Genomic DNA, 25030 nt, shown 5'->3' with positions numbered 1-25030 from the left:
CACACAGAATAATTAATTCTAAAACTACTTATTTCATATTTGTCATAGTCTGCTTGGGCTGCCATAACAAAATATCATAGACTAGGTGGCTTAAACAACTGACATTTATCTTCTCACAGTTATGGAGACTGAAAGCCTAGGTGTGTAGCTGCTTTCTGGTGAGGGCCCTCTTTCTGGCTTGCAGATAGTTGCCACCTTGCTGTGTCTTCACATGGTAGAAACAGTAAGAGTTCTGTGGTGTCTCTTCTTAAAGGAAGAAGAACCAATTCTGTTAGATCAGGGCTCCATCCTTATGACCTCTAAATGTTTGTGCCCTCCCAAAATTTATATGTTGAAACCTAATCCCCATTGCGTTGGTATGAAGAGGTGGGGCCTTGGAGAGGTGATTCGGCCATAAAGGTTTTTTCTCATGAATGGGATTAGCACCATTATAAAGGAGGCTTGAGAGAGCTTGTTTGCTCAACTTCCACCATGTGAAGACAGCAAGAAGGCACCATCTTTGAAGCAGAAAGTGAACCCTCACCAGATTCTGAATCCCCTGGGGCCTTCATCTTGGACTTTCCAGCCTCCAGAATTGTGAGCAGTAAATTTCTGTTGTTTATACATTTTCCAGCCTAAGATATTTTGGTGTAGCACCCCAGATGGACTAAGACAACCTTCATAAAGGGCCTATATCCAAACAGTCATACTGGAGCTTAGGGTTTGAACATACAAATTTTGGGGTGAACAGTTTAGCCCATAGCAATGTTCAGTAGGGCATACTTCTTTTGTTCTAGGATTTGTGAAGACACTGATGCACAGTCAGTGTTGTCTGTGAATATAAACCATATTCTTTTAGCTGTTGTCTTTATATGCTAAAGAGTCCTGCCATTCTCCTGCCTCAGCCTCCCGAGTAGCTGGGACTGCAGGCGCCCGCCATCACACCCGGCCAATTTTTTGTATTTTTAGTAGAGATGGGGTTTCACCGTGTTAGCCAGGATGGTCTCGATCTCCTGACCTCGTGATCCGCCCGCCTCAGCCTCCCAAAGTGCTGGGATTACAGGCGTGAGCCACCATGCACAGCGAGTCCCACTATTTTTAGTTTTCCGTGTGTAAAAACTCAGTCATGTTAGCTGCCCTTTTTGATTATTCTTTGTTCATTTATATCTCTCTTAAAGTGGTGAGAATTACATATTTCAGATAAGGATTTTATTTCATATTGCATTGTTGGGAGCAAGCCCCTCAAAGTCTGGCCATAAACTGGCCCCAAAACTGGCCATAAATAAAATCTCTGCAGCACTGTAACATGTCTATAATGGCCCTAACGCCCAAGCTGGAAGGTTGTGGGTTTATGGGAATGAGGGCAAGGAACACCTGGCCCGCCCAGGGCAGAAAACCGCTTAAAGGCATTCTTTAGACACAAACTAAAGCATGAGCAATCTGTGTCTTTAAGGGCATGTTCCTGCTGCAGTTAAATAGCCCAACCTATTCATTTAATTCGGCCCAGATCACCTGAGGTCAGAAGTTCGAGACCAGCCTGGCCAACATGATGAAACCCCTTCTCTACTAAAAATACAAAAATTAGCCAGTCGTAGCAAGCACCTGTAATCCCAGCTACTCAGGAGGCTGAGGCAGGAGAATCACTTGAACCCAAGAGGCGGAGGTTGCAGTGAGCCAAGATCATGCCACTGCACTCCAGCCTGGGCAACAAGAGCAAAATGCCATCTCAAAAAAAAAAAAAAAGAATTTCTTTTAATATTTCTTGCAAGACAGGTCTACTGGTGACAGAATCCCTTAATTTTTGTTTGCCTGAGAAAATCTTTAGTACTTTTTAAGGATAATTTTGCTTGATACACAGCTCTAAATTAGTGGCTTTTTGCTTTAAATGCCTTAACTATTTCAGTCCTCTCTATCCTTGCTTGCATGGTTTCTGAGGAAGGAAAAAAGAGTGTTAGAGAAGGAATGTGTGTTTTTTTTTTTTTTTTTGGAGAAGGAATTTTAAAATGTAAAAGAAAACCTTGGATTTTTCTTTTTTTTTTTTTTTTAAGATAAGAGTCTTGCTCTGTTGCCCAGACTGGAGTGCAGTGGTGTGATCCTAGCTCACTGCAGCTTCAGGCTCAAGCAGTCCTCCTGCCTCAGCCTCCAGAGTAGCTGAGACTACAGACACCCACCACCATGCTTGACTAACTTAAAAAAATATATATATATTTTGGTAGAGATGGGTCTTGCTATGTTGCCCAGGCTGGTTTTGAACTCCTTGCCTCAAGGGAACCTCCTGCCTTGGCCTCCCAAAATGCTGGGATTATGCCATGAGCCACCATGCCTGGCCTAATATTTCTTATTCTTTATTGAGGGAACATATAACAGTTTATTCAAAATAATGACAGCAGCCGGGCACGGTGGCTCACGCCTGTAATCCCAGCACTTTGGGAGGCCATGGCGGGTGGATCACCTGAGGTCAGGAGTTCAAGACCAGCCTGGCCGACATGGTGAAACCTTGTCTCTACAAAAATACAAAAATTAGACAGGCATGATGGTGGGTGCCTGTAATTCCAGCTGCTTGGGAGGCTGAGACGGGAGAATTGCTTGAATCTGGGAGGCGGAGGTTGCAGTGAGCTGAGATTGCGCCATTGCACTCCAGCCTGGGCAACAGAGCGAGACTCCATCTCAAAACACAAACAAAAAAAGTAATGACAGCAACAATTTATTTGATTATGTATGCTTATGTATAAATATATGCTAAGGCATGCTTACATATATAAATGGTAGCAATGATACAGGGGAAGAAATGGCAGAATTAGAATTGTTATTATAAGGGTTTTTTAAAATCACAAATTGGATTTGGATTAGTTTAAATGTATATTGTAAACTCTAGGGCAACTACTAAAAACAGTTAAAAGAAATATAATATGCTAAGAAGGCAAAGTGGAATAATATAAAATGCCTGTTTAAAACCACAGAAGGCAGATAAAGAGTGAAAGACAAAATGGAAACAAAGAAGAAGGCAACAAATAGAAAACACTAACATATATGGTAGATATTAATCCAACTATATCAGTAATCACTTTGAATGTCAGTGGTCTAAATGCACTGTTAAAAAGATGGAGATTATCAGAGTGGATCAAAAAATATGACCCAACTATATGTTGTCTATAATAAAAGCACTTTAAATATAAAGAGACATATAGGTTAAAAGTAAATGGATGGAGAAAGATATACCATGCTAACACTAACAAAAAAAAGACCTAGCTGTATTAATGTCAGACAGAGCTGACTTCAAAGCAAGGAATGTTAGGACATTACGCCTGTAATCCCAGCACTTTGGGAGGCCGAGATGAGTGCATCATTTGAGGTCGGGAGTTCAAGACCAGTCTGACCAACATGGAGAAACCCTGTTTCTACTAAAAATACAAAATTAGCCAGGCGTGGTGGTGCATGCCTGTAATCCCAGCTACTCAGGAAGGCTCAGGCAGGAGAATCGCTTGAATCTAGGAGGCGGAGGTTGCGGTGAGCCGAGATCATGCCACTGCACTCCAGCTTGGGCAACAAGAGTGAAACTCGGTCTCAAAAAAAAAAAAAAAAAAAAAAAAAAAGAAGGACATTACATAATAATAAAGGGGTCAGTTCTTCAAGAAGACGTAACAGTCCTTAAAATGTATGCATCTAACAACAGAATGTAAAAATACGCAAGTCAAAACCTGGTAGAACTGCATGGAGAAACAAATGGATTCAATATTATTAGTCGGGAAATTCAACGCCCTCCTATCGAAAATGGACAGATCCAGCAGGCAGAAAATTAGTAAGGACATTGTTGAGCTCTGCAATACCATCAATCAACTGGATATAATGGACATCTATAGACTACTTCAACAACAGCAGAAGATACATTCTTCTCAAGCTCACATGGAACATTCACAAAGATAGACCACACCCAGGCCCATAAAGCACACCTTAACAAATTTAAAATAATATAAATCATACAGTGTGCTCTCAAACCACAGTGAAATTAAACTAGAAATCAATAACAGAAAGATAGCTGGAAAGTCCCTAGTTACTTAGAGATTAAACAACACACTTGTGAATAACACGGATAAAAGAAGCGGTCTCGGGAAACTTTGAAATATTTGGAACTAAATGAAAATGCAGTAACATCAGAAACATAAAATGTCTAGGATTAAATGTAAAAAAAATTGCAAGGATGCTGGGTGCAGTGGCTCACACCTGTAATCCCAGCACTTTGGGAGCCAAGGTGGGAGAATTGCTTGAGCCCAGGAATGCGAGACCAGCCTGGGCAATATAGTGAGACCTTTTCTACAAAAAAAAAAAAAAAAAAAAATTAAAAATTAGCCAGGCATGGTGGAGCACACCTGTAATCCTAGCTACATCAGAGGCTGGGGTGGGGGGATCCTTTGAGCCCAGGAGACAGAGGTTGCAGTGACCCGAGATTGTGCCGCTGTACATCAGCCTGGGCGGCAGAATGAGAGACTCGGTCTCCAAAAATAATAATAACAATAATAATAATAATAATAATAATTGTAAGGCAACTCCAATTCATTACTGATGTAAAATAAAGACCATTATACATGAAGGGATACACCTTGTTCATGTAATGAGAGAGTCACTATTGTAAAGATACCAGTTTTCCCTAACTAGGTCTGTAGATTTACTGCAAACAAATTAAATTTCAAAAAGTACATATATATAAAATTTTAGGTAGAAATTGACAAGCTGATTCTGATTTTTATATGGATATATCGTGGATCAAGGGTAGCCAGACACACCTAAAGAATAAGACAAAATGAGAAGACTTGCTGTACTAGATATCAAGTTTAATTAAGATAGTATAGTGCTACTTTAAGGAAAAGTAAATCAGAAACAGATCCACTTTTGTAGGGACACTTGATTATTACAAAGTTGATGACTTATAGTGGTCGGGAAAAGTGCTGGTTTAATTGTGTACACATGTTGAAACAAATAAACCCTTACCCATATTTAACTTCATATTAACTTCATTAATTCCAGGTGTATGTTAGTTCTAAATATGATAGCTCCTAGATAATAATATAGTTTATGATCCTTATGACCTTTAAAGATAGGAAAAGATTTGTTTAAAAATACAGAAAAAGCAGCTGGGTGCGGTGTCTCACGCCTATAATCCCAGCACTTCGGGAGGCCGAGGCAGGCGGATTGCTTGAGGTCAGGAGTTCGAGAGCAGCCTAGACAACATGGTGAAACCCCATCTCTACTAAAAATACAAAACTTAGCCAGGCATGGTGGTGCATGCCTGTAGTCCCAGCTGCTTGGGAGACTGAGGCAGGAGAATCACTTGAGCCCGGGAGGCAGAGGTTGCAGTGAGCTGAGATCGCGCCACTGCACTCCAGCCTGGGCGACAGAAGGAGACGCTGTCTCGAGGAAAAAAAAAAAAAATACATATATAGAAAATCACTACCTTTTTAAAGGAAAAATATTGATAAATTAGACTACAATAAATTTAAGAACTTCTGTTTATCAAAAGACATCATAGTGAAAATGAGAAAAATGTTTGCAACACAACTGTCAAAGAACTGATGCCCACAATATAGACTGAATTTAAAAATGGGTAAGGAACTTAAGCATTTCCCAAAAGAAATCTAAATGACTAATAAATATAAAGGTTGTCAACTTGATTAATAATCAGATCATACAAATTAAAATTACAATAAGATACATGACACACCTTCCAAAATGGTTAAAAGTGAAAAAAGGGGCTGGGCGCGGTGGCTCACGCCTGTAATCCCAGCACTTTGGGAGGCCGAGGCGGGCGGATCACAAGGTCAGGAGATCGAGACCATCCTGGCCAACACGGTGAAACCCGGTCTCTACTAAAAATACAGAAAATTAGCCGGGCTTGGTGGCGGGTATCTGTAGTCCCAGCTATTTGGGAGGCTGAGGCAGGAGAATGGCGTGAACCTGGGAGGCGGAGCTTGCAGTGAGCAGAGATGACGCCACTGCACTCCAGCCTGTGCGACAGAGTGAGACTTTGTCTCAAAAAAAAAAAAAAAGTGAAAAAGACTGAAAATAGAAAAATGTTGGTTAGAGTGGAGCAAAAGGAGCCAGGCGTGGTGACTCACGCCTGTAATCCCAGCACTTTAGGAGGCTGAGGCAGGTGGATCGCTTGAGGCCCAGAGTTAGAGACCAGCCTGGCCAATATGGTGAAACCTTGTTGCTACAAAAAATACAAAAATCAACCAGGTGTGGTGGCACGTGCCTGTGGTCCCAGCTACTTGGGAGGCTGAGGCATGAGAATCACTTGAACCTGAAAGGTGGAGTTTGCAGTGAGCCGAGATCACTCCACTGCAGTCCAGCCTGGGTGACAGAGTAAGACTCTGTCTCAAAAAAAAAAAAAGGAATGGAGCAAAAGGATTTCTCATATGCTATTGGGAAACTAAATTGGTACAACTTCTTTGGAAAACAGTTTGGTTGTTATGTATTTTAGAAATTCATGTATGTATGTACCAAGGGACAAGCAAAAATGTTTATGGCATCATTATTTGTAGCTTCCCAAAACTGTGAACTGCCCAAATAGCTAGTAACTAGTAGAAGTGGAATGAATAAATTGTGACATATTCATATAGTGGAATACTACACAGTAGTGAAAAGAAGTAAGCTACTGTTACATGCAACAGCATGAATAAATCTCGTAAGTAATGTTCGACAAGAGAAGCTCCACTCAAAAAATATTCATACCGCATAATTTCATTAACATAGTGTGGAAACATAGTCAATATAACCATAGTGTTTAGGATAGTGATAGAACAGGTAGTGACTAGCGGGGGAGGACTTTTTACACAGAATGTGGGACTTTCCCTCTCTGGCTGTCTCCAGGATTCCACTTGCATTTTCCAGTGGCTGTGGTTGCCATATTGCATTTATTTGTCATGTCTTCATAGTCTTCTCTGGTATATGACAGTTCCTCGTTCTTTCTTTGTCTTTTATGGACTTGACACTTTTGATGAGCCTATATTGCATGTCAACTATTTGTGGAATATTCCTCAATTTGGATTTGTTTTTTTCTCATGATTGGATTGAATTTGTGCAGATTTGGTAATAATGTTGTAGGAATGATATTGCAGTTAACTTGTATGAAATCAAGGCTGCATGATACTGATGCAAACTTTGATTGGTTAGTTACGTGGCATCTGCCAGATTTTTTCACTGTAATGTTGCTGTTTTCCCCTTTGAAGTTAATAAGAATCTTACTGGGAGAACCTTTGAGATTTTGCAGATATCCTGTTTCTCATCATAGTATTTTAGAGTCCATCAATAATTCTTGCCTGCAATGTTTATCTCTTTTTTTCTTTTTTTTTTTTTTGAGATGGAGTCTCGCTCTGTTGCCCAGGCTGGATTGCCTGCCGTGGTGCGATCTCGGCTCACTGCAAGCTCCGCCTCCCGGGTTCATGCCATTCTCCTGCCTTTGTCTCCTGAGTAGCTGGGACTACAGGCGCCCGCCACCATGCTTGGCTAATTTTTTTTGTGTTTTTAGTAGAGACGGTTTCACTGTGTTAGCCAGGATGGTCTCGATCTCCTGACCTCGTGATCCACCTGCCTCGGCCTCCCAAAGTACTGGGATTACAGATGTGAGCCACCGCGCCCGGCTCTTGCAATGTTTATTTCTGTGATGTTTGTCTACTAGTGATTTTCTATTTCCATCTTTTTTTTTCAATATTTATTAACTGGTTTTCTACTCTAAGGAAGATCTGTCCCCTCTCCCCTAATTTATATCAGTGTGGACTCATGGATACTTATTTAAATCTATTAGTTATAATGCATTACTCTCACTATTTATTTTATTGCTCAAATTGTCCCAGATGTAGCCAGTGAGATCCTTCTAGTTGTCTTGTATGTTCCTTCAACATACTCCCATAATTTTTTGATCATTTCCTTACTTTCTGGCATCACAAGATATTCCAGGCTCTAATTGTATTTTTCCTATCCCAGAATCGGAATAAGCTTTTTTCCCTGAAGTCCTTGTTTTTTTTTTTTTTTAATTGGAAGGTGGTATTTGGAAATCAAAATTTGGGCCAGGCACAGTGGTTCATGACTGTAATCTCAGCACTTTGGGAGGCCAAGATGGGCAGATTGCTTGAGATCGGGAATTTGAGACCAGCCTGGGCAACATGGCAAAACCCCGTCTCTACAGAAAATACAAAAATTAACAAGGCATGGTGGCGCACATCTGGGGTCTCAGCTACTCAGGAGGCTGATGTGGGAGGATGACTTGAGGTTGCAGTGAGCCGAGATTGCACCACTGCACTTTAGTGTGGGTGACAGAGCCAGTCCCTGTCTAAAAAAATAAAAAAGAGGCCGGGCCTGGTGGCTCACGCCTGTAATCCCAACACTTTGGGAGGCTGAGGTGGGTGGATCACCTGAGGTCAGTAGTTCAAGACCAGCCTGGCCAACATGGTGAAACCCCATCTCTACTAAAAATACAAAAAATTAGCTGGATGTTGTGGCGGGCGCCTGTAACCCCAACTACTCAGGAGGCTGAGGCAGGAAAATCGCTTGTACCCAGGAGGCAGAGGTTGCGGTAAGCCGAGATCACGCCATTGCACTCCAGCCTGGGTGAACAGAGCGAAACTTTGTCTCAAAAAAATAAAAAAGAAAAGAAAGAAATCAAAATTTGTACACTATATTTGCTTACTGTGACTACATGTCATTATTTCTAGTCCCTCTCAATTCACAGAGTTGGGAAATACATGTGTATGGTTGTCTCCATCTCTATTATTCGTTCATTTCTTTATCCATCCATCCATCCATCTATCTGCCTGTCTGTCTGTCTCTATCTGCCTACCAATCCATCATCATGTCCCTGTTCAGATGCATCTGATTCCAGTCCAACACCACAGGCTTCCCTTTGCTTATTTGTCACTTCTTTTTCCCATGGTGAGAAACCTGGCTCTTATTATTCATAGTATATTTATTTAATGTTAGTATACACATAAAGTATTAATAGTTCCAGATTTGCTAACCCAGACCTTTGTGACCATATAATGTTTCATCTAAATTAGAACACTTTTGAGAGGGAAAGGGGGGATGTTATTAATTATTATTTAAGAGTAATTGGTGGAAACATAGACTTTTAGGGAAACTGGGAAATATGGCTCCCTGTATATGGTACATATTGTACTAATTTATTATCATTATGGTTTATTTTTGTCTTCTCACTTTTCTAGCATCATAAATTTCCTGTTGGTTGATGCAGAAATCATTCTTGTAAACAATGTGTTGAAAGCTATTAAAATGGTGACTAGTAATTTATATACTTAATAGGAAGCATTTTCTGTAATCATAATAGACTGCTTTGGTGAAAATATTGAGTTCCTTCATTGTCAGATGGAACAGAGCAGCATTGCTATTCGTTTGTTTTATCTGGATTGCTTCTGTAAGTTAGAATTGGAATTTCTCAGGCTTTCCTTGAGATGTTATTGCATTTAGTGCTTCGGAATTGTAAGTCTTAAAAAAGAACATTGGTCAAAGAAATACTCATTTAAGATACTTGTCTGGTGCTTAATAACATTTCCCTGTTAAGGTGGACACACGTTTGCAAAATGGATTTGCTCCTGGGATGAAGCTGGAGGTGGCTGTGAGAACAGATCCTGAGACCTACTGGGTTGCCACCGTTATCACTACCTGTGAGCAGTTGCTCCTTCTCCGCTATGATGGCTATGGGGAGGATCGGAGAGCAGATTTCTGGTGTGACATCAGGAAGGCTGATCTCTACCCCATTGGGTGGTGTGAGCAGAATAAGAAGACCCTTGAAGCCCCAGAAGGTAATGAAATACTTCCTATCAAGACGTGACGTGATTTTACTGTAAGAAAATTTGGATTGTCCACAGTCTTGAGGTTTTAAGTCTCTCGAGCATATAGGTTTACCCAGCTTTTCTAGGTTAGCATTTTGAGTGAAAATATTTATAAGGAATAATACACATTTCCCTGTCTTTTAAAATTATTTTCTTTGCTACATAAAGCCTCAGGTTTTTATGATGCTCATAGGGAACACTAGCTGCATATCATCCTTTCAGACTGTGAGGTTCTCTGAGTTTGAGATTTGTAGATCTGGTTGTTTTTAAGCCCGTTGGGCCAGACTGATGTGCTGTTGATTTTCTTTTGTTTTTATTGTCCTCTCTCCTCATACCCTCAAGCAATCTGGTAACTAGGAACTCTTAAATGAACTAAATCAAGCACCATTCCAGAAGGAGTAAAAACCAAATTAAGCAGAAGAGAGACAATAAAGGCAAAAGAAAGAGAAGGGTGAGATAAAGGTGGGGAAAGATAAGAGGACTCCGGATTTAAGAAAATACGTGAGTTGTCTGGGCGGGGTGGCCCATGCCTGTAATGGCACCACTTTGGGAGGCTGAGGCGGCTGGATCACCTGAGGTCAGGAGTTCGAGACCAGCCTGGCCAACATGGCAAAACCCCGTCTCTACTAAAAATACAAAACAATTAGCTGGGTGTGGTGGCTCACAACTATAATTCCAGCTACTCAGGAGGCTGAGGCAGGAGAATCACTTGAACCCAGGAGGCGGCCGTTGCATTGAGCCGAGATCGCGCCACTGCACTCCAGCCTGGGTGACAGAGTGAGATTCTGTCTCAAAAGAAAGAAAATACCAGACTTTTGGTATTTTTCTTTTAACTTCTTACTTTGATATAATTTCAGATTTACCAAAAAGTTATGAGAATCATATGGAAAATTATTGGAGACTTTTTGCCAAGTGTTTCCAAATGTTGTTAATGGTGACATATATGATGTTTACTTTATCTTGTCTCCACTGCTTTACTCATGTTCTTTTAATGAACCACATGAGAGTCAGTTTTAGACATGATGCCCTTTTATTCAAAAATACTGTATGTATTTCTAAAAACAAGGTATTCATGTTACAGTAAAATATGAAAATGAGGAAATTAACTTTGATACAATACTGTTTACAGATAGTACTCAGTTTTTTAAAAGGAACATTGTTTAATAAACATGGTCTTATTTTTATATTTATATCACTTTCTAGTATTTTTGTTTTTATTTTCATTTCTATTTTCTTGAGGCAGGGTCTTGCTATATCACCCAGACTGGTCTCCAACTCCTGGGCTCAAGTGATTATCCTGCCTCAGCCTCCCTAATAGCTAGTACCACAGGCATGAGCCATCATGCATCATGCCTGGGCCTTATTCAGTTTTTACCAGCTATTCCAATAACATTTAAGATAATTTCGTTCTATTTTATTTTTTTGAGACAGAATCTCGCTCTGTCAGCCAGGCTGGAGTGCAGTGGCGTGATCCTAGCTCACTGTGTCCTTGAACTCCCAGGTTCAAGTGATTCTCCCACCTCACCCCTGCCAAGTAGCTGGGTCTACAGGTGTGTGTCACCATACCCAACTAATTTTTAAACTTTTTTGTAGAGACAGAGTTTCGCTGTGTTGCCCAGGCCAGTCTCAAACTGCTGGTCTTAAGCGTTCCTCCTTTCAAAGTGTTGGGATTACAGGCATGAACCACCACACCTGGCCCAATAACTTTTTTTTTTTTTTTTTTTTTTTTGAAACAGAGTCTCACTCTGTTGCCCAGGCTGGAGTGCAATGGCGCAATCTCAGCTCACTGCAGCCTCCACCTCCTGGGTTCAAGCAGTTCTCCTCCCTCAGCCTCCCAAGTAGCTGGGATTACAGGCACCCGCCACCACACCCAGCTAATTTTTTGCATTTTAGTAGAGACGGGATTTTGCCATGTTGGCCAGGCTGGTCTTGAACCCCTGACCTCAGGTGATCTGCCCGCTTCTGCCTCCCAAAGTGCTGGGATTACAGGCGTGAGCCACCGCGCCTGGCCAATAACTCTTTTTTAATTAAAGAAAAATCCCAGATCATGTGTTACATTCAGTTGTCATGTCTCATAAGTTTCCTATAATCTGGAACAGTTCCTCAGGGTTTTTCGTCTTTCATGACTTTGATATTTTGAAAGTTACAGGCCAGTTTTCCCAATGTTCATTCTATCCTGGTCCCAATAATGTTCATTATGCTGTATTTCTTTTCCTGGTCCAAGATTCCTGTCTAGAATCACATTGCATTTAGTTGTCGTGTCTCTCTCGTTTTCTTAACCATTGTTTTTCTTTTTTGAACTTGACATTTTTGAAGAGTACAGGCCAGTCATTCTGTCAGATTTCCCACAATTTGGGTTTGTCTGATGCTTCCTTACATTCAGGTTGTTCACTTTTGGTAGGAAAAATGCAAAAGCTGTGCCCTTCCAGTGCATGATATCAGAAGATACATGCTATTGATTTGCCTTATTACAGGTAAAATTAACTTCCATCACTTGATTAGGTTCGTATATGCCAAGTTTTTTCATCGTAAAGGTATTATTTTTTGCTTTTTAGTTAGTGTCTTGTTGGAAGATACTTGGAGATTATGAAAATATCCCATTACTCTTCACACTTTAACCCACTATTCTTAGTATCCATTTATAAATTTTATCTGAAACAATTATTTTTTCAATAATTACCAAATGGTGTTTTAAAAAATTTCTTCTACATTTCTTAATTGGCTTTCTACTATACTATAGAAAGAGCTTCCCCCTTTCCTCCATTTATGTATGTATGTGTATATGTAGGTATGTTTATCAGTGTAGACTCATGATTCTGATCTTATTTAATGGGTTATAATCCTTTACTTTATATTTCTTTTGATCCTGAAACTGTCCTAGATTGGGTGAGTGGTTACCCCTTCAAGCGGGCTACTGTATCCTTTTAATATGTCCTTATTTTTCTTTAAGCAGTTTCTTATTTTTTGGCTCAAGAAGCATTTTGCTGTCTCAGCCCTGAAATCAGCCATTTCCCCAAGAAGTCTTTTCTTTTAGTGAAGAATGGTATTTGGAAACGAAGATCTGAGTGTTAGGGTCCTGGGATGTCTGTGGGCTTCTCCTTTGTGAAGGTTTTTTACTTTGTGAGTAACAATAGAAGAGAGAGCTCTAGAGACATGAAGCCACCTGGCCTACCATCTCATCCTAACGTATGTAGGAAAATGCATCTCGTTTAAATGTGAACAACAGAAAAGGATTTCAGTTGAATCTCATACAAGATTATTACAGTGAAAAAAGAGTAGAAACAACCACAGAAGAGGTGAACATTGTGTCAGATAAAAACATTTCAAAATAAGGTAACAAAAAAGTAGCAACAATAATAGAAACAGTGAAAAAAATTATAAATAAAATTTATAAACATTCAGAAATGAAAGGATTAAAAAAGGGAAGATTTGAAAAGAGAAAAAGTAAAACTTAGGCAAGAACTGGAAATAAAAGAATATTGAAAATGAAGACTTAGTTAAAATGAGCACAGGAATGAGTCAGCACCATGGATACTATCTGAAGAAAAACAGATGAAAAAAAGGAAAGAAATTTTAAAATAAAAACCAAACAAAGAAATAAAAAGGACTTGAGAAACACCTTATACAGCTAGGTAAAAATGATTTAACATACCTGCAGTAGAAGTCCTTGAAGAAGAAAACTGAAGCAATGAAACAATAAAATACTATAAACTATAATTTAGGTAAACATTTATTTATTTATTTTTTGAGACAGAGTGTCACTCTTTGTCACCCAGGCTGGAGTACAGTGGCACGATCTCGGCCCACTACAACCTCTGCCTCCCAGGTTCAAGCAGTTCTTCTGCCTCAGCCTCCTGAGTAGCTGGGACTACAGGTACATGCCACCATGCCCAGCTAATTTTTATATTTTTAGTTGAGAGGGGGTTTCACCATGTTGGCCAGGCTGGTCTCAAATTCCTGACCTCTAGTGATCTGCCCGCCTGAGCTTCCTAAAGTGCTGGGATTGCAGGTGTAGTCCGGCTACCATGCTGGACCATAATTCAGGTAAACCTTACAGAAATAAAAGAGGCCTTGTAATACATACTGAAAGGGATTACTATGTATGTAGGAAAATCAAATGAGGGCAGCTACATCAAAATTGTTCTAATGAAAGTATTGAACTTTAAAGCAAAAAATAATACCACGGCTATTTAGGAGAAAGACCAAGTTTCTTATAGAGGAAAGAAAACAAGATTTTCATCAGAGTTATTAACAATGGTTTATGTCAAAAGACAATGGAATGTAATGTACTTAAGAAATGTAATGAAAGAGAAAATATGAGACAGGGATTTTATATCTAGCCAAACTGAACTTCAGATCTAAAGGCTATATGCAAACTGTTACGAACAGGTAAGAACTAAGTAATATTGTTCCCATGAGCCCTTCCTAAGGCGTCCACTAGGGAATGAGCTTCAGCTGAGCAAATTAATGAGGTAACATTAGCATGGGAAATGGTAGTGAAACATTAAATATATGTATAGCTATAGAACTTAAACTAAATGATGGTTGTAAGGGAGACACTGTGGTATATAATAGCTGTATGCTCTGAAAATGTAGTTACATTATTACTATAAAAAATATGGGACAAGAATGGGGAAAACGTGAATAGTTGTATAAGCCCACTAATTGTCTTAAAAAAAAAAACAGCTTTATTGCCATGTAATATAACTATTTAAATGTTAACTGGGAGTAAAAGGATAGTACCTGAAATGAGATGCTGAAGGAGAGAAAACGAAGGGCTTATAGCTAACTTCAGTATTGTTTATAGAAACAACAACAACAAAATAGAAAGTAGTCCAAAAATAGAGAGGACTAAAAGTGTTATATAAAGGTAATCCGTAGAACAAAAATAAGAACCTTTCTATATGACGAAAGAGACTTAGAAAGAGAAACTATATGTGTAAACGGGATAGATCACATAGTAAAAAAAACTACATATACACGAAGTATATAACATTTAACAATATGAAATTTAGGCCATGCATATTAATAATATCAATAAGTGTTACTGGGCATACTCTTTTATTAGAAGTAAACAAATAAATTCAGATTGCCTCATAAAGCAAAATCCACTCTTGTCCTCTGTATAGGAGACATACCTAAGCAGAGAGACTACGAAAAAGTAAAAATAAAAGGACAAAGATGTACAGGCAACTGCCAGTAGAAAAGAAACCAGCTGTCAGTCTTGATAGCTGACAAAGGATACTTTGTAAGAAAAGCAGCTATAGACAGCAATAAAAAGGAGGAGGGTCTGCATACAACCAAGGAGTGGGCTCAGGATATGTTATTGTATGAAAAAAAGAAAAATGTGTACAGACTTGAGGAGGAGGAGAGCTCAAGGATATGATGATACAAATGTGTGTGTGTGAACTTATTTTTTTCAAAATAAAAGAGTAAATCGTTGGCCAGGCGCAGTGGCTCACTCCTGTAATCCCAGCACTTTGGGAGGCCGAGGCGGGTGGATCACGAGGTTAGGAGATCAAGACCATCCTGGCCAACATGGTGAAACCCCATCTCTACGAAAAATACAAAAATTAGCCAACCGTAGTGGTGTGTGCCAGTAATCCCAGCTACTCAGGAGGCTGAGGTAGAAGAACCACTTGGACCCGGGAGGCGGAGGTTGCCGTGAGCTGAGATCGTGCCACTGCACTCCAGCCTGGGCAACAGAGCAAGACTCCGTCTCAAAAAAAAAAAAGAATGAATCATTTAGAAAAAAGTTACCTATGGGGAAAGAAGGGAAAAGAATGAAGGAGGTAGGAATAGAAGCTAAATTTTATGAATGTACCTTATTTTATTTTGTAGATTTGACTTTTGAACCTTGTAAATATTTTATGCAACTAGAAAGCAAAATTAAATGTTTAGAAAGCAATTCCTAAAAATCAAGGAAACCTAACTGTATATGGAGCTTATGGGATAACCACACAAAGAGGAGCTATTTCAGTGACTTAAAAATACAGTAAAATATGAAAGTATGTCCCCAGTTAGGGTTATATATTCTAAGGACAACAATAACAAAAAAAAATGCAAAGAAAAAATCTTAACCTATTTTTAGTAATCCTACTGTTGGTGGTAGACTTAATGTTGTTACTTTGAAATAGTTGTTTGTATATGGTAGGCAAAAGCAAATAAAGAATGAAATGTGTGGCCGGGCGTGGTGGCTCACCCCTGTAATCCCAGCACTTTGGGAGGCTGAGGCAGGCGGATCACAAGGTCAGGAGATCGAGACCATCCTGGCTAACATGGTGAAACCCCGTCTCTGCTAAAAATACAAACAATTAGCCAAGCATGGTGGCGGGCGCCTGTAGTCCCAGCTACTCAGGAGGCTGAGGCAGGAGAATGGCGTGAACCTGGGACAGAGCAAGACTCTGTCTCAAAAAAAAAAAAAAAAAAGAAATGTGTAATTGAGAACTAGGATTTTCAGCGTTATAGAAAGGAAATAGAGCTTAGATGGATGAGTTAAATGAAAGCACTATCTTTCTGAATTTGTATTGGAAGTATTGTGATGTAAGAAGAAGAAGAAATGCATTAACTCTAGACACTGAAAAGGCCGAGAAACACTAACCCAGTGACAATGAGCATGCCCAGGTCTCTAAATACCATTTCCATGGAAATAAACTGGGGCTTCTTGCAGAAGTAGCTGAGTCCTGCACTAGGTCAGGCAATTTCCTAGATGATCCTGGAACATCTTGTCATACCAAAAAGCAAAAAAGTTATCAGTGGCTCTTTACTAGTGTCATGCCAAAAGGTCTCAGGAGCCAACCTGAAGAGACTGCCTCTGGTTGAAGATAGAGTGTCGTAAGGACAACAGCTGTAATGGCTTGAAATGTATTTGTTTTAATGTATGACTTCATAGTGAAATTTTGAAACAAAACCCTCATTAGCCACTCTTGGAAGATGCCTGCCAATCAACTGTTTATTTTAAAGGGTGGTAAATATAGAGAAAGAGTAAAGACAATCAAGTATATGTTCAAAGAAAGCCTTCTTTCTATGAAATCTACCTCAGCATAATCAAATAGTTGATGTAGAGAAATTTTTCTTTATGGAAGTTCTTTGGTTAGTAAATGAAGAAGGAATAATACAATTAGAATATCACCATTGAGCCCGTAATGAATCAGTGCATCTATGTAGTAACCGTTAAAAGCTGCTAATGTCACAAAGGGAGAGACAGCCAGACCATATGTGCCTCTTCATGCTCTTGAGGGAAGGGTATAACTTATTCCACTTGTGAAGTATTCTTTCACCCTCACCACCCCGCAAAGTCTAACCTGAATTTGATCAAGCTTCTAGCTCTAAATACTGATTTATGGCAAATACAGGGAACAGTAGAACAACTGGTCACCACAGGGACGTAACCAATGAAATCAGACTCTAAAAAACTCCATAGAGAACAAAGGCCAGGTCTCAATAAATGTGGAGTAAAAAAAGAGAGAGTAGGGACACGGGAGGGGAGGAAGGAGAAGAAACCTACTGATGAAAAGAAATCAAGGAGACATTTGCAATGCGTGCGTCTCACTTGGGTCCTGATGTAATCAAACAAATTGACAAAACTGTTTATGAGACAATTGGGGAAGTTTGAACATAGACTGGATATTTGATATTAAGGAATTATTGTTAATTTTTTAAAGGTATGATGTTGTTATTGTGGTTTTGTAAGAAAATATTTTCTTTTAGAAATATGTACTAAAATATATATATGGATGAAATTATATGCTATCTGGAATTGTCTTCTAACTGATCCTTGGTTGGGCATGGGTGGAGTGTGAGGGTATAAGCCAGGCATTGGCAAATTATCTGTAAAGGGCAAGATAGTAAATATTTTAGGCTTTACTAGTCATACAATCTCTGTCAAAGCTGCTAAAACCCTACCTTTGTAGTGTGAAAGCAGCCACAGACAATATGTAAACAAATGGGTATGGCCATGTTCCAGTAAAACTTTATTAACAAAAACAGACAGCAGGCTGGATTAAGCCCTCGAGTTGTAGCTTGTAAATCCTGGTTTAGATGAAACAGATTGGCCATGAGGTGACAGTTGTTGACGCCAGGGCACTTAGGATTCATTAGATCATTTTTCTTTTTGTATGTTTGAAAGTTTCCATCATAAAAAATAAAGTAAGGTACCTTCTGGGTAAAATTATAGGAATAGGTAGTTGGGACTATTCTCTTTGTTTTGTATACAACTCTTAATAAACTAACCAGAAAGTAGCTCCATCTAGAGAAGCATTTTTGGTTTTATTTTGTTTTATCTTTTCAAGCTCTCAAGCAGTATGTTGGACTCTTAGATCTTAAAATGTGAAATACCTTTAAACCATCTCCACTGATTTCGGTTTCTCTGCATTCTGTGGCTGGCATTTTGAGTAATCAGTCATTTATTCCCTCATCTAGGCATCAGAGATAAAGTATCTGACTGGGATGAGTTTCTGCGGCAGACCCTGATAGGAGCATGTAGTCCTCCTGTTCCGCTGCTAGAGGGCGTGAGTATTACTACATGCCACATCAGCATGGAAAACCCATCTGATCTTTCAAAGAATCTTAAAATCGGTTGCTTATTTACCACTCTGAAGAAAATAAACGTTATTATTAGAGACATAGGCATAGGTATTGGGAAGTTTAAACTTACCCTCAGAGGTTGCAAACTGGTGGCTTGCTTAGTGCCTAAATATTTTCTGAATTAGTTGCTAACACATAAAAAATCTAATTTCCCAGATTCTTTTATACAGTTGGAAAATAGGACCTTCTGAGGGCTTTCACTCTGAAACTGAGCAGAGGTCGATTCTGCTTGAGGGTGGACATTTGTAACTCCCACACCAGGTGACTTGGAGTCCCCCCAACCCACCCTTTTTTTTTTTTTTTTTTGCTTGGAACACATTGGATCTATTGCACTTCTGCCTTCCACCTGCTTTTCAGCAGTCCTTTTAAATTAGTGTGGCCTTTAAGCTTGTTAGTGAATATAGATCTCTTGATTTTGTGAAATGGATTTATTGGTTATGACATTTCTAAGTTATATCTTGTCACTTTCTGTCATACTGGTAAAATTATTTGTGGCATATGTGAAATGCAATGTATGAAGGTTCCCATCCCTCTACTTCCTTGCCAACACTTGTTATCTTTTTTATTATAGCTGACTAAGTGGGTATGAAGTGGCATCTCATTTTGATTTACATTTCTGTAATGACTGTTGATGTTGAGTATGTTTTTTTGTGCTTATGGGCCATTTCTGTATCCTTTTTGGAGACATTTCTTTGCCCATTTTTAAATTGGGTTGTCTTTTTATTATTGAGTTGAATGTATTATGCATTCAAAATATACATGCATTTCAAAATATTGAAAATATGTTTTCCCATTCTATGGTTTGTCTTTTTATTGTTTGCAGCGTAAACATTTTTTATTTTGATATAATCCAGATTATCTTTTTTTCTTTTGTTGCTTGTGCTTTTGGTATCATATCTAAGAAGGCTTTGCTTAACCCAAGGTCAAGAAGATTTACTCCTGTATTTTCTAAGAGTTTTATGGTTACATTTACTTCTGTCATCCATTCACATTCCCTTTTAAATTTTGATTGGTGAATACTCTATTTCAAACTGGTTTTTATTTTTTATACTCTGACTCATTTATTTATGCTTAGCCAGGGCCTTATACATACTAAAAACTCAGTAACATTTTAATGAATGGATGAATTGATAAACTATTCTACTCTTTTTTGACCATGACTCTGCCATGCTGACTTTTAGCTCTAAATCTTTTCCTCCACTTTTTCATATGTCCCTTTGCATATCTGGATATGTAAGTGTCACAGAGCAGTTTTTACTAGGAAAAAAATGTAAGGTTGTGTATTAGAAATGATTAAGTGATAACTTGATAATGAATTTCTTTTCTTTATTGTAGTTTTTAATATACTTCTAGATAGTGAGAGTTAAACTTTTCCTTTCCATCACTGTAATCAAAAGCTTTTACTCTGTTCATTTGAACATTGTTGTGACATCAATAAAAAACCAGAAACAACTGAAATACTATCTGTAGGTAACTGGATAAATTATTGCCCATTTACAATGTAAAATATCATAAAATACTATAAAACATGAGGAAGAGTTATATGTGCTATTATAGAAAGATACCTATGATGTACTAAATGAAGAACAAATTAAGAAACAGTATACAGTGTTTCCATTTTTCAAAAAATAGGAACAGACAGACTGGCAGAGGTGGATATTGACTTGTATGGAGAAAAAGAGTGTATGCCAAAGTGTTTCTTGTGGTTCTTTCTTTGAGGTGGGATTACAGGTGACTTTGACTTTGACTTTTGTTTGATTTTTTCTCTTTAATGATGATGATGGTATTTTGATATTTGCTTTTTTTAAATTTTTAAATTTTTTATAAAGACAGAATCTTGCTCTGTTGCCTAGGCTAGAGTGCAGTGGCATGATCTTGGCTCACCATAACCTCTGCCTCCTGGGTTCAAGTGATTCTTCTGCCTCAGCCTCTCAAGTAGCTGGGACTACAGGTGCCTACCACCATGCCCGACTAATTTTTGTATTTTTAGTAGAGACGGGGTTTCACCATGTTGGCCACACTGGTCTCGAACTCCTGACCTCAAGTGATCTGCCCACCTCAGCTTCCCAAAGTACTGGGATTACAGGTGTGAGCCACCATGCCTGGACCATATTTGTTTTATAATAGATGAGGAATGATGATATTTTAAAAATTCTTACTAAATGAAACTACATAACATAGTCCTAGAGATAGAGATGTGTTAGAGTAATTTTACTGCATTATAGGTAGATTTTCTTTAAGATAAACATTTTCATATCTCCTAGAAATAATACTGTAAGAGGCTTGTATGATGATAGACAATTTAGTGTCACTGGCTTTTGAATGGGTAAAAAATACAAAGGCTGGTTTGAGATCATTTATAAGTTGGCTTTTCAAAAATATTATGTTAATTTCTCTTACTGGGTTGTTTTACTTTTTAATCCTACAGCTCCGTAATGGGAGGAATCCTTTAGATCTCATTGCTCCAGGATCCAGACTAGAATGTCAAGCTTTCCAGGACTCTTTAAGCACTTGGATTGTTACTGTAGTAGAAAACATTGGAGGAAGGCTGAAGCTACGTTATGAAGGACTTGAAAGTTCTGACAATTATGAACATTGGTTGTATTACTTGGATCCATTTCTTCATCACGTTGGTTGGGCTGCTCAACAGGGATATGAGCTTCAGCCCCCTTCAGGTGAAGAGTAATAGGACATTTTTCTTCTGTGACATTAACATGCTATGTTATTAATATCTATGAGGCTGAAAAAATATATTCTGCATATTATGAAAACCTTTGTTAGTTCTCATAATAGAGCTATTACAAAACAGTTTATATGGAGTTGTTAAATTAAGTGCCTATTTTTCTTTTTTGTTGTTGTTCTGCTTTTGGTTTTTGTTTTGTTTTGTTTTGTTTTTTGAGACAGAGTCTTGCTCTGTTACCCAGGCTGGAGTGCAGTGTCATGATCTCAGCTCACTGCAACCTCCGCCTCCCGGGTTCAAGCGATTCTTGTGCCTCAGCCTCCCCAGTAGCTAGGATTACAGGCACATGCCACCACACCCGGCTAATTTTTGTATTTGTAGTAGAGATGGGGTTTCACCATGTTGGCCAGTCTGGTCTCGAGCTCTTGACCTCAAGTGATCCGCCCACCTCAGCCTCCCGTAATGCTGGGATTACAGGCGTGAGACACCGTACCTGGCCAAGTGCCTACTTTTCTTTTCTTTTTATTGCTTTTATAATTTACCACACATATTGATATACCTCATAGACTACTGTGCCAACCCATACTGACCCTTGACCAAGATAAAATAAAAAATTATCTAGGGAGCATTTAGCTAGGTACATAGAAAATTGGGTCACAGCAAATTGTTGATTAAAAGAAATACCAATAATATTGGTATTTCTAGAGTTACTGTTTAAATCAATTTGCATTTATTATTATGTGCCCCAATTTGGATGTTATATTACAATTTTATGGATTACAACAATCATTATGATCTTACTGTAGGTATTTTCATAGAGCCAAGCTGTCCAGGCTCTGCATAGAGCAAAGTACTGAAGTTAAGGTGCAAGTTCTTTGAATGTAAAGGGATATAAGTGGGCTTGAACCCTTTTCTAGTTCCAGTGGAAAGTGACTTGTTTTTGTTTATGTGAATGCTTTCAGGACAGGTAAAAAGTATAAGTTTCTCATCATCTAAAGCATGTTGTCATGTTTTATTAAAGCCATTAGACATCTAAAAAATGAAGCTGAGTGGCAAGAGATTTTGGCCAAAGTGAAAGAGGAAGAGGAAGAGCCATTACCATCTTACTTATTTAAGGTAAAAACAAAACATGTGATAGACCGGTATTGCTCCCCTTACAGTAGAGTAAAGCAACGCAGGAGGTGAAAGTGTAAAGCAGCCCCTGCAGTCGGTAAGAATGCCATGGTCTCTGAAGGAGGAGGGTGTGTTAAGGCTGGACTGATGATCATCCTTGTTTTCTTCTAACAGTTGTCTAGATTTTCTCCCCAAGTTCTCCTAAAGTAGTTTGAACCTTTTCTTTTTTACCCTTAACTACATAGTCTTAACTGATAAAATAAATTTGTTTTTTTCTCCAGATATTCCTTGTCTTTGAATGTAGAGAGTAGAAGCACTTCTGTGTGTTTTGTTTTTTCCTGGATAGTTTTTTCCAGAGTAGAAAATTATATTGGATAGTTTTGCACATTTAAAAAAAAGAAGAAAACTATAGGATTTACCAGAGCTGGACATTTCTGTTAATCACAGCTACATGTGAGTGTAAGATTGATACAGATACTATGTTTTCATCCCCTTTTGGTGTCTGCATTTCAGGACAAACAAGTTATTGGCATTCATACATTCTCTGTAAACATGAAATTGGAAGCTGTAGACCCCTGGTCTCCTTTTGGGATCTCTCCTGCTACAGTTGTTAAGGTAAAATGGAGATAACTCTCTTGGTAAGAATCCCTGTCAAGGTGACTGGTTTAGGAAATGGGTAGTGTTTTGATCTTTAAGCTCTATTGATCCAACCCATTTTTCCTTCTAGGCCGTGCAGCTAGAATTACTTCTGTGCACGTTTTGTATTTGTCCAGTTTGCTGTGGCCCATTCCTCCTTCAGAGCTTGGTAGCCCTAGCCAAAGCAGCCTTGGGCCTGGGCACTGGACTAGTAGGGGACGCATTCTTTGGGGCAGGCCTAGCTGCATATAAGTAAAGGAGATTTAACTCCTTTAGGAGGCCAGGGTATCTGTAAAGTTGGAGGCAGGCAGTCTCATCAACGTCTAACCAGATGCAGAGCTCATTGGAATGAGGAGATGAATGGGGATCAGGCAGTTAGTGTTAAAAGTTCTGGCAGTGGACTGGCTCCAGCTATGTATTCCAGATTCAGATTTAATCTTTTGGAATACTGACAAAACTAAGAAGTAAGGTTATCAAGGCCCTGCTCAGTCACTACAACTGAGGCATTGGCGAGAGAATTTCAGTTTCCAACTAGAGCAGAAGGACATTTACTGAAAATAGAAGCCAAAGTTGAATGTGACTAGAGGAATAGTTGCCTGGGTGCTAAATCCTCTGACCTATTGAGATTTAAGTTTTCCCTGTCTTGGAAGAAGATTATTCTCAAAGCAAGGAGGGATTCTGAGCCTGCAGGTGGGGCCAGAAGGCCCTACCTAGAGTCTGAAGGGAGGGCTAGTGGGAAGCCAGAGGAAGTTCATAAAGTTATCTCTTTGGCCGGGTGTGGTGGCTCACGCCTGTCATCCCAGCACTTTGGGACGCCGGGGCAGGCAGATCACCTGAGGTCAGGAGTTCAAGACCAGCCTGACCAACATGGAGAAACCCCATCTCTACTAAAAATACAAAATTAGCTGGACATGGTGGTGCATGCCTGTAATCCCAGCTGCTCGGGAGGCTGAGGTGAGAGAATCGCTTGAACCCGGGAGGCGGAGGTTACGGTGAGCCAAGATTGTGCCATTGCACTCCAGCCTGGGCAACAAGAGCGAAACTCCGTCTCTAAATAAATAAATAAATAAAGTTCGTTCTTTGGCATTTGAAACTGGGCTAGGATTTGAAAAACTAATACATAGTAGCATAAGCTTAAACTAAGTTTGTCACTAAGCTTAGAATAAATTTTGTTTGGAGCCAAACTACATGGCTTTGGATCCAGGTTTTGCTTCTTCTTTGTTTTGTAACCCAGGGCAAGTTATTTAACCTCTGTTTGAACTCATTCTCCTTATCTGTGAAATGGAGTTGATAAAGGTACTTGGGCCAGGTGTGGTGGCTCATGCATGTAATCCCAGCACTTTGGGAGGCTGAGGCAGGAGGATTGCTTGAGCCCAGGAGTTTGAGACAAGCCTGGGCAATATATGGAGACCGAGTCTCTACAAAAATTAAAAAAAATTAGCTGGGCATGGTGGTGCATGCCTGTTGTCCCAGCTACTCAAGGGACTGAAGTGGGAGGATCAACTGAGCCCAGGAAGTCAAGACTGCAGTGCTTCGGTGAGCCAAATTCATGCCACTGCACTCCAGCCTGGGTAAGAGAGCAAGACCCTGTCTCCAAAAAAAAACAAACAAACTATATATATATGTGTGTGTGTGTATATATGTATATATGTGTATATATATATATATATGTATATATATGTATATATGTATATATATGTATATATGTATATATATGTATATATGTATATATATGTATATGTACTTACCTCATTCAGTTGTTAAGATTAAAACTGAATTGATACATGAAAAGCATTTAATTAAAACAGTAATTATATGTATTACATAACACAGAGCTAACATTTAGTGTTTAGTATTATTAATACCCACATGAGTATGAACTTTTGTAATATGTTTGGCTGTGCCAAGGAGAAAGCACATATATATGTGTGCATTTGTCTATTTCATCTATTAATTGCATGTATAGGTTTTTGATGAGAAGTACTTTCTGGTGGAAATGGATGACTTGCGTCCTGAGAACCACGCACGGCGATCCTTTGTGTGCCACGCCGACAGTCCTGGCATCTTCCCTGTGCAGTGGAGTCTGAAGAATGGCCTACACATCAGCCCCCCTCCAGGTGCACATTCGCTGTCTTCTGAATTGTCACTTGAGAGCTTCTCCTTGAAATGAGACATGTCAGATGGCATTGCTGAAATC

The 25030-nt window shown here is 39.1% G+C and overlaps 1 protein-coding gene across 1 annotated transcript in view, besides 2 other annotated features; it reads left to right on the top strand.

The window, feature by feature from the left end:
- Positions 1-25030, top strand: part of SFMBT1 (Scm like with four mbt domains 1) — a 142502-nt gene that overhangs the window by 92933 nt on the left and 24539 nt on the right. Inside the window, exons 4-9 of the mRNA NM_016329.4 lie at positions 9548-9788; positions 18240-18328; positions 20833-21079; positions 22106-22200; positions 22711-22812; positions 24800-24950. Coding sequence (NP_057413.2) covers positions 9548-9788; positions 18240-18328; positions 20833-21079; positions 22106-22200; positions 22711-22812; positions 24800-24950 — 925 coding nt within the window. The remainder of the gene's footprint in view (positions 1-9547; positions 9789-18239; positions 18329-20832; positions 21080-22105; positions 22201-22710; positions 22813-24799; positions 24951-25030) is intronic.
- Positions 18114-18408: a silencer, noted in NCBI's record as "tiled region #7399; K562 Repressive DNase unmatched - State 12:CtcfO". NCBI's record gives its function as "represses a minimal TATA promoter and a strong SV40 promoter by Sharpr-MPRA in K562 cells {active_cell/tissue: K562}" and the evidence as "EXISTENCE:reporter gene assay evidence [ECO:0000049][PMID:27701403]".
- Positions 19513-19682: an enhancer, noted in NCBI's record as "experimental_70661 CRE fragment used in MPRA reporter constructs". NCBI's record gives its function as "activates a minimal promoter by MPRAs in K562 erythroleukemia cells, with activity observed for the introgressed 3:52967560 variant allele {active_cell/tissue: K562}" and the evidence as "EXISTENCE:reporter gene assay evidence [ECO:0000049][PMID:34662402]".

Source organism: Homo sapiens, chromosome 3 (genome assembly GCF_000001405.40).
Source record: "Homo sapiens chromosome 3, GRCh38.p14 Primary Assembly".
In the NCBI taxonomy this organism is placed as follows: Eukaryota; Metazoa; Chordata; class Mammalia; order Primates; family Hominidae; genus Homo; species Homo sapiens.
Note: the sequence above shows the minus strand (reverse complement) of the source record. Positions and strands in the feature narration are given on the sequence as shown.